General features: G+C 36.3%; 1 protein-coding gene and 1 long non-coding RNA gene across 4 annotated transcripts in view, besides 4 other annotated features; one reads left to right on the top strand and one right to left on the bottom strand.

Moving 5' to 3' along the window:
- The window catches only part of TANK-AS1 (TANK antisense RNA 1), a 64,199-nt gene that overhangs the window by 8,074 nt on the left and 41,875 nt on the right, over nt 1-14,250 (top strand). The window lies entirely within an intron of this gene.
- Nucleotides 1-14,250, bottom strand: part of TANK (TRAF family member associated NFKB activator) — a 99,268-nt gene that overhangs the window by 84,014 nt on the left and 1,004 nt on the right. The gene's annotated exons all lie outside the window — the stretch shown is intronic.
- Nucleotides 10,717-10,776: an enhancer, noted in NCBI's record as "active region_16704". NCBI's record gives its function as "activates an Ori minimal core promoter by ATAC-STARR-seq in GM12878 lymphoblastoid cells {active_cell/tissue: GM12878}" and the evidence as "EXISTENCE:reporter gene assay evidence [ECO:0000049][PMID:35858748]".
- Nucleotides 10,967-11,066: a silencer, noted in NCBI's record as "silent region_12053". NCBI's record gives its function as "represses an Ori minimal core promoter by ATAC-STARR-seq in GM12878 lymphoblastoid cells {active_cell/tissue: GM12878}" and the evidence as "EXISTENCE:reporter gene assay evidence [ECO:0000049][PMID:35858748]".
- Nucleotides 11,077-11,126: a silencer, noted in NCBI's record as "silent region_12052". NCBI's record gives its function as "represses an Ori minimal core promoter by ATAC-STARR-seq in GM12878 lymphoblastoid cells {active_cell/tissue: GM12878}" and the evidence as "EXISTENCE:reporter gene assay evidence [ECO:0000049][PMID:35858748]".
- Nucleotides 12,306-12,475: a silencer, noted in NCBI's record as "silent region_12051". NCBI's record gives its function as "represses an Ori minimal core promoter by ATAC-STARR-seq in GM12878 lymphoblastoid cells {active_cell/tissue: GM12878}" and the evidence as "EXISTENCE:reporter gene assay evidence [ECO:0000049][PMID:35858748]".

Genomic DNA, 14,250 nt, shown 5'->3' with positions numbered 1-14,250 from the left:
TATTAAAGCTAGGATAATTGTATTTTGGTTTGTAACTCCTCTTTTTATTTCCTATATGATTTAAAAGACAAATCCTTAAAAATAATTATCAATCTGGCACACAACTTATAAAGATATAATTTGTGACAACAACACGTAAGGGGTGATTAAGCTGCTTAGTAGTGGAGTGTTTGTATGTTACTGAAACTAAGTTGGTATAAGTTAAAATTAGGTTGTTATAAATTTAGGTTGTTAATTGTAACTCACATGGTAATGACTAAGAAAATATTTTTTAAAAATCACAAAAGAAAATGAGAAGGGAATAAAATGGTATACCACTAAGAATAAGCTAAAATACAAAATAAGACAGTATTGGAAGAAGTGAGAAATAGAAAAATGGTATAGAACATACAGAAATCAAATAGCAAAATGGCAGCCGTAAGACCTTCCTTATCAATAATTACTTTAAATGTAGATGGATTAACCTCTTCAATCAAGAGGCAGAGCTTGGCAGAATGGATAATACAACATGATCAAATGATCAAATCATATGTTATCTGCAAAGGACTTAATTTAGATGCAAAGACCAATAGATTAAAGTGAAATTATGGAAGAAGATTTTTCATGCAAACAGTAACCAAAAGAGAGATGGCGTGGCTAAACTAATATTAGATAAATAGACTTTTAGTAAAAAACTGTTACAGGAGACAAAGAAGGATATTATGTATTGACAAAAAGATAATTCATCAAGAAGATATAGCAATTATACACATATATCCATCAAATAACAGGGCCCAAAAATATATGAACGAGACATTGGCAGACTTGAAGGGAAAAATAGACAGTACTACAATAGTCACTGGAGACTACATTATGTCACTTTTAATAATAAATAGAAAAACAGAAGATCCAAAAGAAAATAGACAACTTGAAAAATAGTATAAACCAACTAGACCTAGCAGACATGTAGAGCATTCCACCCCAAAAAAGCTGAATATACATTCTTCTCAAGTGGATATGAAATCTTCTCCAGGATAGATCAAATGTTAGGCCACAAAAAGTCTTAATATATTTAAAAAGATTGAAATCATACAAAGTATCTTCTCCAACCAAAATGGAATGAAACTAGAAGTTAATACAAGGAAAACTAAAAAATTTACAAATATGTGCAAATTAAGCAACACATTCTTAACCAATGAGTCACAAGGATAAATCACAGGAAAATTAGATTTACTTGGAGAAGAATAAAAACAAAATTGCAATGTATCAAAATATATGGGATGCAGTAAAAACAGTGCTCAGAGGAAAATTAATAGCAGTAAATGTTCATATTAAAAAAGATGTGAGAGTTGGGCATGCTGGCTCACGCCTGTAATCCCAGGACTTTGGGAGGTTGAGACAAGCAGATCACTTGAGGTCAGGAGTTTGAGACCAGCCTGGCCAACATGGTGAAACCTTGGCTCTACTAAAAATACAAAAATTAGCTCGGTGTGGTGGTATGCGTGTGCCTGTAATCCCGGCTATTTGGGAGGCTGAGGCAGGAGAATCGCTTGAACCTGGCAGGCAGAGATTGCAGTGAGCCAAGATTGCACCAGCCTGGGAGACAGAGTAAGACTCCATCTCAAAAGAAAAAAAAAAAAAAAAAAAAGAAGAAGAAGATTTGAAATCAATAATCTAACTTTATACCTCAAGGAACTGGAAAAGGAAGAGCAAACTAAATTGAAAGCTAGCAAGGATGAAACTAATAAAGATTAGAGAAGAGATAAATGAAACAGAGAGTAGAAACACAGTTGAGAGAATCAATGAAACTAGAAGTTGGTTCTTGGAAAAGATCAAGAAAATTGACAAAACTTTAAATCGATAAGAAAAAGAGGAAGAAGAAATAAATAACTAAAATCAAAAATGAAAGTGAGGACATTACCACCAACCAAATAGAAATACAAAGTATTATAAATATTATGTTATGGAACAGTTGTAGATCAACCAATTAGATAACCTAGATGAACTGTACAAATTCCTAAAAACACATAGACTACTAAATCTAAGTAAAGAGGAAATAGGAAATCTGAACAGACTGATAATAATACAGAGATTGAATCAATAACCAAAAATCTCCCCACAAAGAAGCCATCAGGACCAGATAGCTTCACTGGTGAATTCTACCATGCACTTAAATAACACCAAATTTTCAAACTGCTAGAAAAAAAATGGGTGGAAAGGATGCTTACTAACTCGTTCTATGGGGCTAGCCTTGACTTTATACTGAAGCCAGACAGAGACGTGATAAAAAAGAAAGCTAAAAACCAATATTCCTTGTGAATATAGATGCAAAAATTCTCCACAAAATACTAGCAAACTAAATCCAACAGCCTATTAAGTGTATTATACATCATGATCAAGTGTGATTTATCCCTGTAACGCAAGGGTGGTTCAACATAAGAAAATCACTTCGGGCAATGCACCACATCATAGAAAAATGGAAAAAAAAAAAAACCCACATGATTATCTCCACTGACGCAAAAAGGCATTTGAAAAAAACCAACACCCTTCCATGATTCCTCAGAAAACTAGGATTAGAAGGGAACTTCCTTAACATAATAAAGAGCATTTATGAAAAACCCTCAGGTAACAACATATCAAATGGTGAAATACTAAAAGCTTTCTCCCTAGGATTAGGAACAAGACAAGGACACTTTCTTTCACCACTGCTATTTAACACTGTCCAGGAAACAGTAGCCAGTGCAATTAGACAAGAAAAAGAAATAAAAGCCATCCAAATTGGAAAGGAAGAGGTAAAACTATTTCTATCCTTAGATGATATTATCCTATATATGAAAACTCCCAAAGTATTCACAAGAAAGCTACTAGAGCTAATAAATGAATTTAGCAAAGTTACAGGGTATGATATAAACACTCAAAAATCAGTTTTTTCTATACATTGCCAATGAACCCTCTTAAAAGGAAATTAAGAAAATTCTATTTACAGTGGCATCCAAAAAAGAAAATGCCTAGGAATAAACTTAACCAAAGAGGTAAAATAGTTATAGACTGAAAACTACAAAACATTTCTGAAAGAAATTATAGAATACCTAAGTAAGTAGAAAGACATCCTATGTCCATGGATTGGAAGACTTAATATTATTAAGATGGCAGTACTCCACAAATTGATCTCCAGATTCAATGCAATTGCTATTGAAATTTCAATAGCCTATTTTTTTTTGTAGAAATTGAAAAGCTGATTCTGAAATTCATATTAAATTGCAAGTGTAGCCAGAAGAATATTGCAAAGGAAAAACAAAGTTGGAAGACTCACGCTTCCCAATTTCAACACTGACTACAAAGCTACAGTAATCAAAACAGCATGGCACTAGCATAAAGATACACATATGGACCAAAGGAATAGAACTGAGAGTACAAAAATAAACACTTATAAGGGTGCCAAGACCATTTAATGGAGAAAAAATAGTCTCTTCAACAAATGATGCTGGGACAAGTGATAACCACATGCAAAAGAAAGAAGGTGGACCCCTACCTCACACCACATACAAAAATTAACTCCCAATCGATCAATTACCTAAATATAAGAGATAAAACCATAATAGCACACTTAGACAAACACAAGTGGGTAAGTCATCATGACATTGGATTTGGCAATGGATTTTAGATATGATACCAAAATAACAAACAAGAAAACAAACCAATTTGACTTAATAATTTTTTAAAACTTTAAACATTGAAAGATGTCAAGACACTGAAAAGACAGTCTATAGAAAAGGAGAAAATATTTGCAAATCACATATCTGATAAGGGGCTAGAATCTAGAATATATAAAAAACTCATGACTCAACAACAAAAAGACAAACAATCCAATTAAAACGTGGGTAACTGACTTGAATAGACATTTATCTAAAGAGGATCTACACATGGTCAACAAACACATGAAAAAATGCTTGACATTATTAGTCTTCAGGGAAATGCAAATCAGGACTACAATGAATTACCACTTCACATTCACTAGGATGGCTGTAATAAGAACCCAAATAGAAAATAACAAGTGTGGAGGAGGATGTGGAAAAATTGGAAGCCTTATATAGTGCTGGTTGGAGTGTAAAATAGTTCAACCACTGTGGAAAATAATTTGCCAGTTCCTTAAAATGCTAAACATAGAATTACCAAATGACCCCAGAATTCTACTGATAGGTATATACCCAAAAGAACTGAAAACAGGTACTGAAACAAATACATGTAAATACATGTTCATAACAGCATGATTTACAATAGTCCAAAAGTGAAGACAGACCAAATACCCTATCCATCAACAGACGAATGGATAAATAATTAGTGGTATATACATATAATAGAATATTATTCAGCCACAAAAAGAAATGAAGTACTGATACATGCTACAACATGGATGAAACTCAAAACCATTGTGCTAAGTAAAAAAAGACAGTTTAAGAAAGTCACAGGTGAGGACATGATGGCCGACTAGAAGGAGCAGCGATTGGAGGCTCCCATCAAAAAGGACTATAACAGCACGCAAATCCTTCACTGGCAACGGAGGTATCCAGGTTCTGTCATCAGAACTGACCAGGCAGCTGGCGTGACCCTCGGAGAGGAAGGAAGACCATTATGGTGCGGTGGCCCACCTGAGAGCCACATGGGGCAGGGAAGCCCCCAGCCCACAGCCAAGGGAGGCAGTGAGTGAGTGTGCTACCCAGCCTGGGAAACCATGCTTTTTTCATGGAACTGTGCAACCCACAGGTCAGAAGATCCCACTAGTGAGCCCACACCACCAGGCCTAGCCTCCCAAGCACGGAGTTGCACTGATTCTCAACAGCCACTCAGCTAGAATCTGCTTAAGCCTGCTAAGTTCCCAGGGGCAGGGGCAGTCAGCACCACAGCTGCAGCTCTCTGCTGTCCAAGCTGTTTGAGCTCCTTGGGGGGAGAGATGGTAGCCAACACTGGGACTGATAGCCACCTAACACACTAAGTTCCCAGGGTGGGGGAAGGGAACAGCCATCTCTATAGCTCCAGGCTGCGCTTTTTCCCTGCTGGAGCCAGGGAGGCTGGATGGCTTGGTCCCAAGCAGTAACTCCCACACCCCCACCCCAACACACCAGCTGTGGCAAACTGCGGCCAGACCCTCTTCAAGCCTGACCCTGACTCATCCCTCCTTATTGGGCGGGGCCTCCCTGCAGGAACTCCAACAACTCCAGCCAGGGACTCAGGGACAGAACTCTGATCCCCCTGGGGCTGAGCCCCTAGGGGGAGGGGTGCTGCGGTCTCCATGGACCAGCAGACTTAGTCTTTCCTTCTGCTAGTTCTGAGGAATCTAGGCAGCCCAGATGAGTGGGTTCCCCCCAGCAAAGCACACCCCCTCCACCAAGGGATAGTCAAAGTGTTTCATTAAACAAGTCTTGCTCCCCATGCCACCCAACTGGGTGAGACCCTCCAACAGGGGTCATCAGACACCCTATATAGGAGCATTCCTACTGCCATCTGGTTGGTGCCCCTCAAGGTCAGAGATCCCAGAGGAAGGAGCAGGCATCCATCTTTTCTGTTCTCCAGCCTCCTTGAGTGATGTCTCCAGGTGCAAGAGCAAACACCAGATGAATAAGGCCTGTAGTGAATCCCTAGCAAACCTCAGCAGTCCTACAGAAGAGAGACCTGACCTTTGAAAGAAAAACAAACAAACAGACAGCAACAACAACAGCATCAACAAAAAAATTCCCCACAAAAACCCCATCCAAGGGTCAGCAACCTCAAAGATCAAAACTAGACAAACTTGTGAAGATGAGAAAGAACAAAAAAACTCTGAAAACCCAAAAGGTCAGAGTGTCTCTTCTCCAAATGATCACAATGCCTTTCCAGCAAGGATGCAGAACTGAATGGAGGATGAGATGGACAAATTGACAGAAGTAGGCTTCAGAAGGTGGGTAATAAACTCCACTGAGCTAAAGGAGCATGTTCTAACCCAATGCAAAGAAGCTAAGAAGCTTGATAAAAGGCTATAGGAGCTACTAAATGGAATAACCAGTTTAGAGAGGAACAAAAATTACCTGATGGAGCTGAAAAACACAGCACGAGAACTTCGTGAAGCATACACAAGTATCAATAGCCGAATTGACCAAGCAGAATAAAGTATATCAGAGTTTGAAGATCATCTTGCTGAAATCAGGCATGAAGACAAGATTAGAGAACAAAGAATGAAAAGGAATGAACAACACCTCTGAGAAATATGGGACTATGTAAAAAGACCTAACCTACGATTGATTGGAGTACCTGAAAAAGACAGGGAGAATGGAACCAAGTTGGAAAACACACTTCAGGATATTATCCAGGAGAACTTCCCCAACCTAGCAAGACAGGCCAACATTCAAATTCAGGAAATACAGAGAACACCACTAAGATACTCCACTAGAAGATCAAACCCAAGACACATAATCATCAGATTCTCCAAGGTTGAAATGAAGGAAAAAATGTTAAGGGCAGCTGGGGAGTAAGGCCAGGTAAACTACAAAGGGAAGCCCATCAGACTAACAGTGAACCTCTCAGCAGAAACTCTACAAGCCAGAAGAGAGTGGGGGCCAATATTTTAAAGAAAATAATTTTCAACCCAAAATTTCATATCCAGCCAAACTACATAAGAGAAGGAGAAATAAAATCCTTTCCAGACAACCAAATGCTGAGGGATTTCATCACTACCTGGCCTGTCTTGCAAGAGTTCCTGAAGGAAGCACTAACTATGGAAAGGAAAAACTGGTACCAGCCACTGCAAAAACACACCAAAATATCAACATCAACAAAGACCAATGACACTATGAAAAAACTGCATCAACTAGTGTGCAAAATAACCAGATAGCATCACGATGACAGGATCAAATTCACATATAACATTATTAACCTTAAATGTAAATGGGCTAAATGCCCCAACTAAAAGACACAGACTGGCAAATTGGATAAAGAGTCAAGACTCATCAGTGTGCTGTATTTGGGAGACCTATCTCACATGCAAAGACACACATAGGCTCAAAATAAAGGGATGGAGGAACATTTACCAAGCAAATGGAAAGCAAAAAAAAAAAAAAAAAAAAAAAAAAAGCAGGGGTTGCAGTCCTAGTCTCCTAGTCTTTAACAAAACAGACATTAAACCAACAAAGATCAAAAAAGACAAAGAAGAGCATTACATAATGGTAAAGGGATCAATGCAACAAGAAGAGCTAACCATCCTAAATATATATGCACCCAATACAGGAGCACCCAGATTCATAAAGCAAGTTCTTAGAGACCTACAAAGTGACTTAGACTCCCACACAATAATAGTGGGAGACTTTAACACCCTACTGTCAATATTAGACAGATCAACGAGATAGAAAATTAACAAGGATATTCAGGATTTGAACTCAGCTCTGGATCAAGTGGACCTAATAGAAATCTACAAAACTGTCCACCCCAAATCAACAGAATATACATTCTTCTTAGTACCACATGGCACTTACTCTAAAATAGACCACATAATTGGAAGTAAAACACTCCTCAGCAAATGCAAAAGAACTGAAATTATAACAGTCTCTCAGACCAGAGTGCAATCAAATTAGAAATCAGGATTAAGAAACTCACTCAAAATGACACAACTACATGGAAATTGAACAATGTGCTCCTGAATGACTCCTAGGTAAATAATGAAATTAAGGCAGAAATCAAGAAGTTCTTTGAAACTAATGAAAACGAGATGATGTACCAGAATCTCTGGGACACAGCTAAAGCAGTGTTAAGAGGGAAGTTTATAGCACTAAATGCCCACATCAGAAAGCTAGAACTGAAATTGACAACCTAACATCACAATTAAAAGAGCTAGAGAAGCAAGAGCAAACAAATCCAAAACCTAGCAGAAGACAAGAAATAACTAAGTTCAGAACAGAACTGAAGGAGATAGAGACACCAAAAAACCCTTCAAAAACTCAATGAATCCAGGAGCTGTTTTTTTGAAAAAGTTTACAAAATAGATGACTACCTAGACTAATAAAAAAGAAACGAGAGAAGACTCAAATAGACACAATAAAAATGATAAAGGGAATATCACCTCTGACCTCACAGAAATACAAACTACTATCAGCAAATACTATAAACACCTCTATGCAAATAAGCTAGAAAATCTAGAAGAAATGGTTAAATTCCTGGACACATACACCCTCCCAAGACTAAACCAGAAAGAAGTGATACTTGAATAGACCAATAACAAGTTCTGAAATTGGGGCAGTAATTAATACCCTACCAACCAACAAAAGCCCAGGACCAGATGGATTCATGGATGAATTCTACCAGAGGTACAAAGAGGAGCTTGTACCATTCCTTCTGAAACTATTCAAACAATTGAAAAGGAGGGACTCCTCCCTAACTCATTTTATGAGGCCAGCATCATCCTGATACCAAAACCTGGCAGAGACACAACAAAAAAAGAAACTTCAGGCCAATATCTGTGATGAACATCAGTGCAAAAATCCTCAATAAAGTACTGGCAAACCGAATCCAAAAGCACATCAAAAAGCTTATCCACCAAGATCAAGTCAGCTTCATCCCTGGGACGCAAGGTTGGTTCAACATACACAAATCAATAAACATAATCCATCACATAAACAGAACCAATGACAAAAACCACATGGTTATCTCAATAGAAGCAGAATAGGCCTTCAATAAAATTCAACATCCCTTCATGTTAAAATCTCTCAATAAACTAGGCATTGATGGAACATATCTCAAAATAAAAAGAGCTATTTATGACAGCTAATATCATACTAAATGGGCAAAAGCTGTAAGCATTTCCTTTGAAAACCATCACAAGACAAGGATGCCCTCTCTCACCACTCCTATTCAACATAGTATTGGAAGTTCTGGCCAGGGCAATCAGGCAAGAGAAAGAAATAAAGCGTATTCAGATAGGAAGAGAAGAAGTCAAATTGTCTCTGTTTGCAGATGATATGAGTCTATATTTAGAAAACCCCATAATCTCAGCCCCAAACCTCCTTAAGCTAATAAGCAACTTCAGCAAAGTCTCAGGATACAAAATCAGTGTGCAAAAATCACAAGCATTCCTATACACCAATAATAGACAAGCAGAGAGCCAAAGCATGAATGAAGTCTCATTCACAATTGCTACAAAGAGAATAAAATACCTAGGAATACAGTTAACTAGGGATGTGAAGGACCTCTTCAGAGAACTATAAACTACTGCTCAAGGAAATAAGAGAGGATCCAAACAAATGGAAAAACATTCCATGCTCATGGATAGGAAGAATCAACATCATGAAAATGGCCATACCGCCTAAAGTAATTTATAGACTCAATGCTATTTCCATCAAACTACCACTGACATTTTTCACAGAATTAGAAAAAAAACTACTTTATATTTCATATGGAAACCCCAAAAGAGTCCATATAGCCAAGACAATCCTAAGCAAAAAGAACAACCTGGAGGCATCACGCTACCTGACTTCAAAATATACTATAAGGCTACAGTAACCAAAAGAGCATGGTACTGGTACCAAAACAGACATATAGACCAATGGAGCAGAACAGAGACCTCAGAAATAACACCACACATCTACAACCATCTGATCTTTGACAAATGGGACAAAAACAAGCAATGGGGAAAGGATTCCCCATTTAATAAATGGTGTCGGGAAAAGTGGCTAGCCATATGCAGAAAACTGAAACTGCACCCCTTCCTTACACCTTATACAAAAATTAACTCAAGATGGATTAAAGACTTAAACATAAGACCTAAAACCATAAAATCCTTGGAAGAAAACCTAGGTAAGACCATTCAGGACATAGGCATGGGCAAAGATTTCATGACGAAAATGCCAAAAGCAATGCAACAAAAGCCAAAATTGACAAATCAGATCTAATTAAACTAGAGTTTCTGCACAGCAAAAGAAATTATCATTAGAGTGAGCATCAGCCTACAGAATGGGAGAAAATTTTTGCAATCTACCCATCTGAAAAAGGTCTAATATCCAGAATCTACAAGGAACTTAAACAAATTTACAAGAAAAAAACAACCCCATCAAAGAGTGGGCACAGGATATGAATAGACACTTCTCAAAAGAAGACATTTATGCAGCCAACAAACATATGGAAAAAAGCTCAACATCATTGATCATTAGAGAAATGCAAATCAAACCCACAATGAGATACCATCTCATGCCAGTCAGAAAGGTGATTATTACAAACAAGAAGCAATAGATGCTGACGAGGCTTTGGAGAAATAGGAATGCTTTTACACTGTTGGTGGAAATGTAAATTCGTTCAACTATTGTGGAAGACAGTGTGGCAATTCCTCAAGGATCTAGAACCAGAAATACCATTTGACCCAGCAATCCTATTAATGGGTATATACCCAAAGGAATATACATCATTATACTATAAAGACACATGCACACATATGTTTCGTGCAGCACTATTTACAATAGCAAAGACATGGAACCAATCCAAATGCCCATCAGTGATAGACAGGATAAAGAAAATGTGTACTTATACACCTGGAATACTATGCAGCCATAAAAAAGAATGAGATCATGTCCTTTGCAGTGTCATGGATGAAGCTGGAAGCCATCATCCTCAGCAAACTAACACAGGAACAGAAAACCAAACATCGCATGTTCTAACTCATAAGTGTGAGTTGAACAATGAGAACACATGGACACAGGGAGGGGAACAACATACATTGGGGCCAGTCAGGGTTGAGGGGCAAGAGGAAGGAGGGATAAATAGCTAATGCATGCAGCACTTAAAACCTAGATGACAGGTTGATAGGTGCAACAAAACACCATGGCACACGTATATGTATGTAACAAACCTACATGTTCTGCACTTGTATCCCAGAACTTAAAGTAAAATAATAATAAAAAAGAAAGTCACACTGTCTGGTTTCACTTATATGAAACATTCAGAATATATGCATCCAGAGACAGAATGCGGATTTGTGGTTGCCAGGGGCTGAGGGGAGTCAGAAATGCAGAACAACTGCTTAATAGTACACTGTTTCCTTTTGAGGTGGTAAAAATGTTTTGAAACTAGATAGAGGTGGTGCTTACACAACATTGTCAGTGTACTGAATGCCACTGAATTGTTCATTTTAAAATGATTAGTTTTGTGTTATATGAATTTCACCTCAATTTTAAAAAGGGAAAAAATAAGAAAACCCGAATAAACTATGGACTTGAGTTAATAATAATGTACCCATATTGGTTCATAAATTGTTACAAATGTGCCATACTAATGCAAGTTGTTAATAATAGGGGATGCTGTGAGTGGTGGGGGTAGGAAGGGTGGTATATGTGAATTCTCTGCAGTGTTCGCTGAATTTTTCTCTAAATCTAAAATGGTTTTAAAAAAGACAGACTATTCATTAAAAAAAAACCCTTACTATCCTAAATAAATCTGATCAAAGAGGAAATAAAACTTCAATTAAAAACTTTAAGACAGTGAAATGTGAAAGCAATGTATCAGAAGTTGTAAGATGTTAAAATAGTACTAAAAAACTCCTAGCCTTAAATATTTTCATTATAAAAGAAGAAAGAATAACAATACATGAACTAATAATTCAACTCACAAACTTAGAAAACTAAAATAGTCTAAAAAAGGCATTGAGAAAATATTAACAAAGATAAAGCAAAAACAATTTTACAAAGAGCTAACTATAGAAGAAATAGATCCAAGAAATTAGTTCTGTGACATCCAATCAGAAAAAAAAAGAAAAGACAAATGGACAAAATGCATCATGAAAAAGGGTTATCCACATAGTTATGGAGATGATTTTAAAAAGTTCAAGGGAATACCATGTATGCCAATATATTTGAAAAATTTTTAAAAAGAGTAATTTCTAAGCAAAAGCAAGTAAACTAAGCTGCATGAAAAATAGCATAAACCCCAAATAGATCAATAACAATGGAAGACATTGTAAGCATTTAAAGAATTATTTTCAAAAGGGGATGCCAAGGCCCAACAGTATTATGGATTCTTCTTTAAACATTTCAAGGAACAGATAACTCCTATTGAATTTTCTTTAGAACTTGGAACATTTTGGTATTTTTATCATTTTACTTTATTAAGCTAGTCTCATTTTAAAACTGAAACCTATCAGTGATATGTTCTAGAAAATAAAAATATAGACTAATTTTTACAGACTTATGAATATAAAAACAAAAATACTAACCTTCTAGTTTTGAATATGAATATTAAAAATTCTTAGCAAATTTCAAACATTTCTCTTTAGCATACATTTTCTTAATATAAGTTGGATATAAGATTAATCAATTTGGACACACATTTTGCTTACCACAGTTGTAACTAAATTGCGGTCTGCAGCTAGCACTGTCATAATAGGAAGAAGGCTTTTTGCACAAAGCGTAGGAATAGCTGCTTTGTTTATTTGGCTGCTATGCCTGGATAGGGTTACTTGGCTTATGTCACATTGTTTTCATTCTTTTTCTGTTAGTTTGAGTTGGGAACAGAATTATGAAGCCAAAATAATAGAGAAGAGGTGTCTAAGCATGTGGATTGGAGAGAAAAAGAGGAAACGTGTAGGTTTGGTTGGTTTATTTTGAACTACCAATTTATTATTTTAATTGGAGCAACAATAAATCATAGCTCATAACTATAAATCTACCTTTATTACCAAAGCAATCATTTTCATATCACAATATTTGATGACATGGACTTTTTAAAAATGCAATGACTCTCTTGTGTAACAGCAGACCACTACACAGTTTGAAGTAGAAAAACCATACAGTTGTCTCTAATGATATCAAAAAGACATTGAGTACAGTTTAACATGAAGTCTCTATTTTGTTTTTATTTAAATAAGCCTCTAGTAAACAAGGTACTTGGCAATTATTTGGTTTTTATGATAAATGTACTTATCTCAAACCAACAGCCAACCTCATTCTTAATGTTAACCACTAGGGAAATTCCCACTGAGATCAGAAACAAGACAAGGTTGACTGCTCTCTTCTCTGTTATTAAACACTGTTCCAGAAATTCTGGCCAATGTGGTGAGGAAAAAAAGGGATAATACATAATTGTATTTTTTTCTGTCTAGGCATCACATGTTAATTACCTAAAGTAATTTAGAAAAAATGAGGGATCAATAAAATTGCTAGATGAAAGATAAATTTGTGAAATTAAGAAGCCAGCAATAATTAGTTAGAAAATATAGTGGAAAGAATATCCCTATCAAGTACCTTTACTACACACACAAGAAGACAAAACAAAATATATTGGAATACATTTAATGATAAATAAAGAACTTCTATGTCTACTGAGGCCTTAATACATTAAAGACATATTAATAGAATATTCAGGCAGGAAGTTTCTATGCTATAAGGATGATCACTTTCCTCAAATTAGTGCATAAGTTTCATGAAATTCTAATCAGAACTTTTTCAGGGGAGCTTTATTTATTTTTAATCATCTAGTTAGTTATCTCTATGACTCAATGTCATAAGTGTTTAAAAGAAGTAACTAGACATTGCTCTAGGTCCCCAGTTGGCTGCTGGGCAGAACCTGAAGGCAGGTTAGACTGGGTATACAACCCCACATCTTCTTCCGGCTCTGAAGCTAACTGCTTGGAGGCACACTAGTGTGCCCACCTGTATGCATGTGGAAGTGTATCCTGGAGGGAGTGAAGAGATGGGAGTGGGTGAGTGAGAAGAAAGACCTAGCTTCTAAAAATGACTTGGTTGCTGCGTGAACATGGCCAAGTCATCTTCCTTTTTCTATCATAAGAATCTCCATCTTTTGGGATATGACATCTCTCAAATATTATTTTAACATTATAAGAATGCAGGGCAGTAGTAACAGAAAGCCCTGGATAAAGAGGTGATATGAATTTATGTTTAAGCCCTGGTTCTGCCACTTACAAGCTTGAATATGACAGCTATTATAATAATGTAACAATAGTGATAATAATTCTTGACTTTTAATCTTTTTGAGCTGTCATTTTTCCTATGATTATTCTTAAGAAAATAACTTAATGAAATATTACATGGTATTTAATGTTCATTTTTGGTTGTGAAAATATGAGGGCTAATTGATAATAGAATAAGACTAGTTTACTATAACTGTGTAAGTTTAAATGGTCCAAGGAGATGCAGCATTGTCTATAAGATTAACACTTTAGTGTAATGAAATATTCACTATCATGTGCTTTTTATGAGATGAGAAAAATACTAAACTTGAGTTAATCATTATTATTATTTTTTTTTT

Source organism: Homo sapiens, chromosome 2, assembly GCF_000001405.40.
Source record: "Homo sapiens chromosome 2, GRCh38.p14 Primary Assembly".
Taxonomy (NCBI): domain Eukaryota; kingdom Metazoa; phylum Chordata; class Mammalia; order Primates; family Hominidae; genus Homo; species Homo sapiens.
This window is presented reverse-complemented; position numbering and strand designations above follow the sequence as displayed.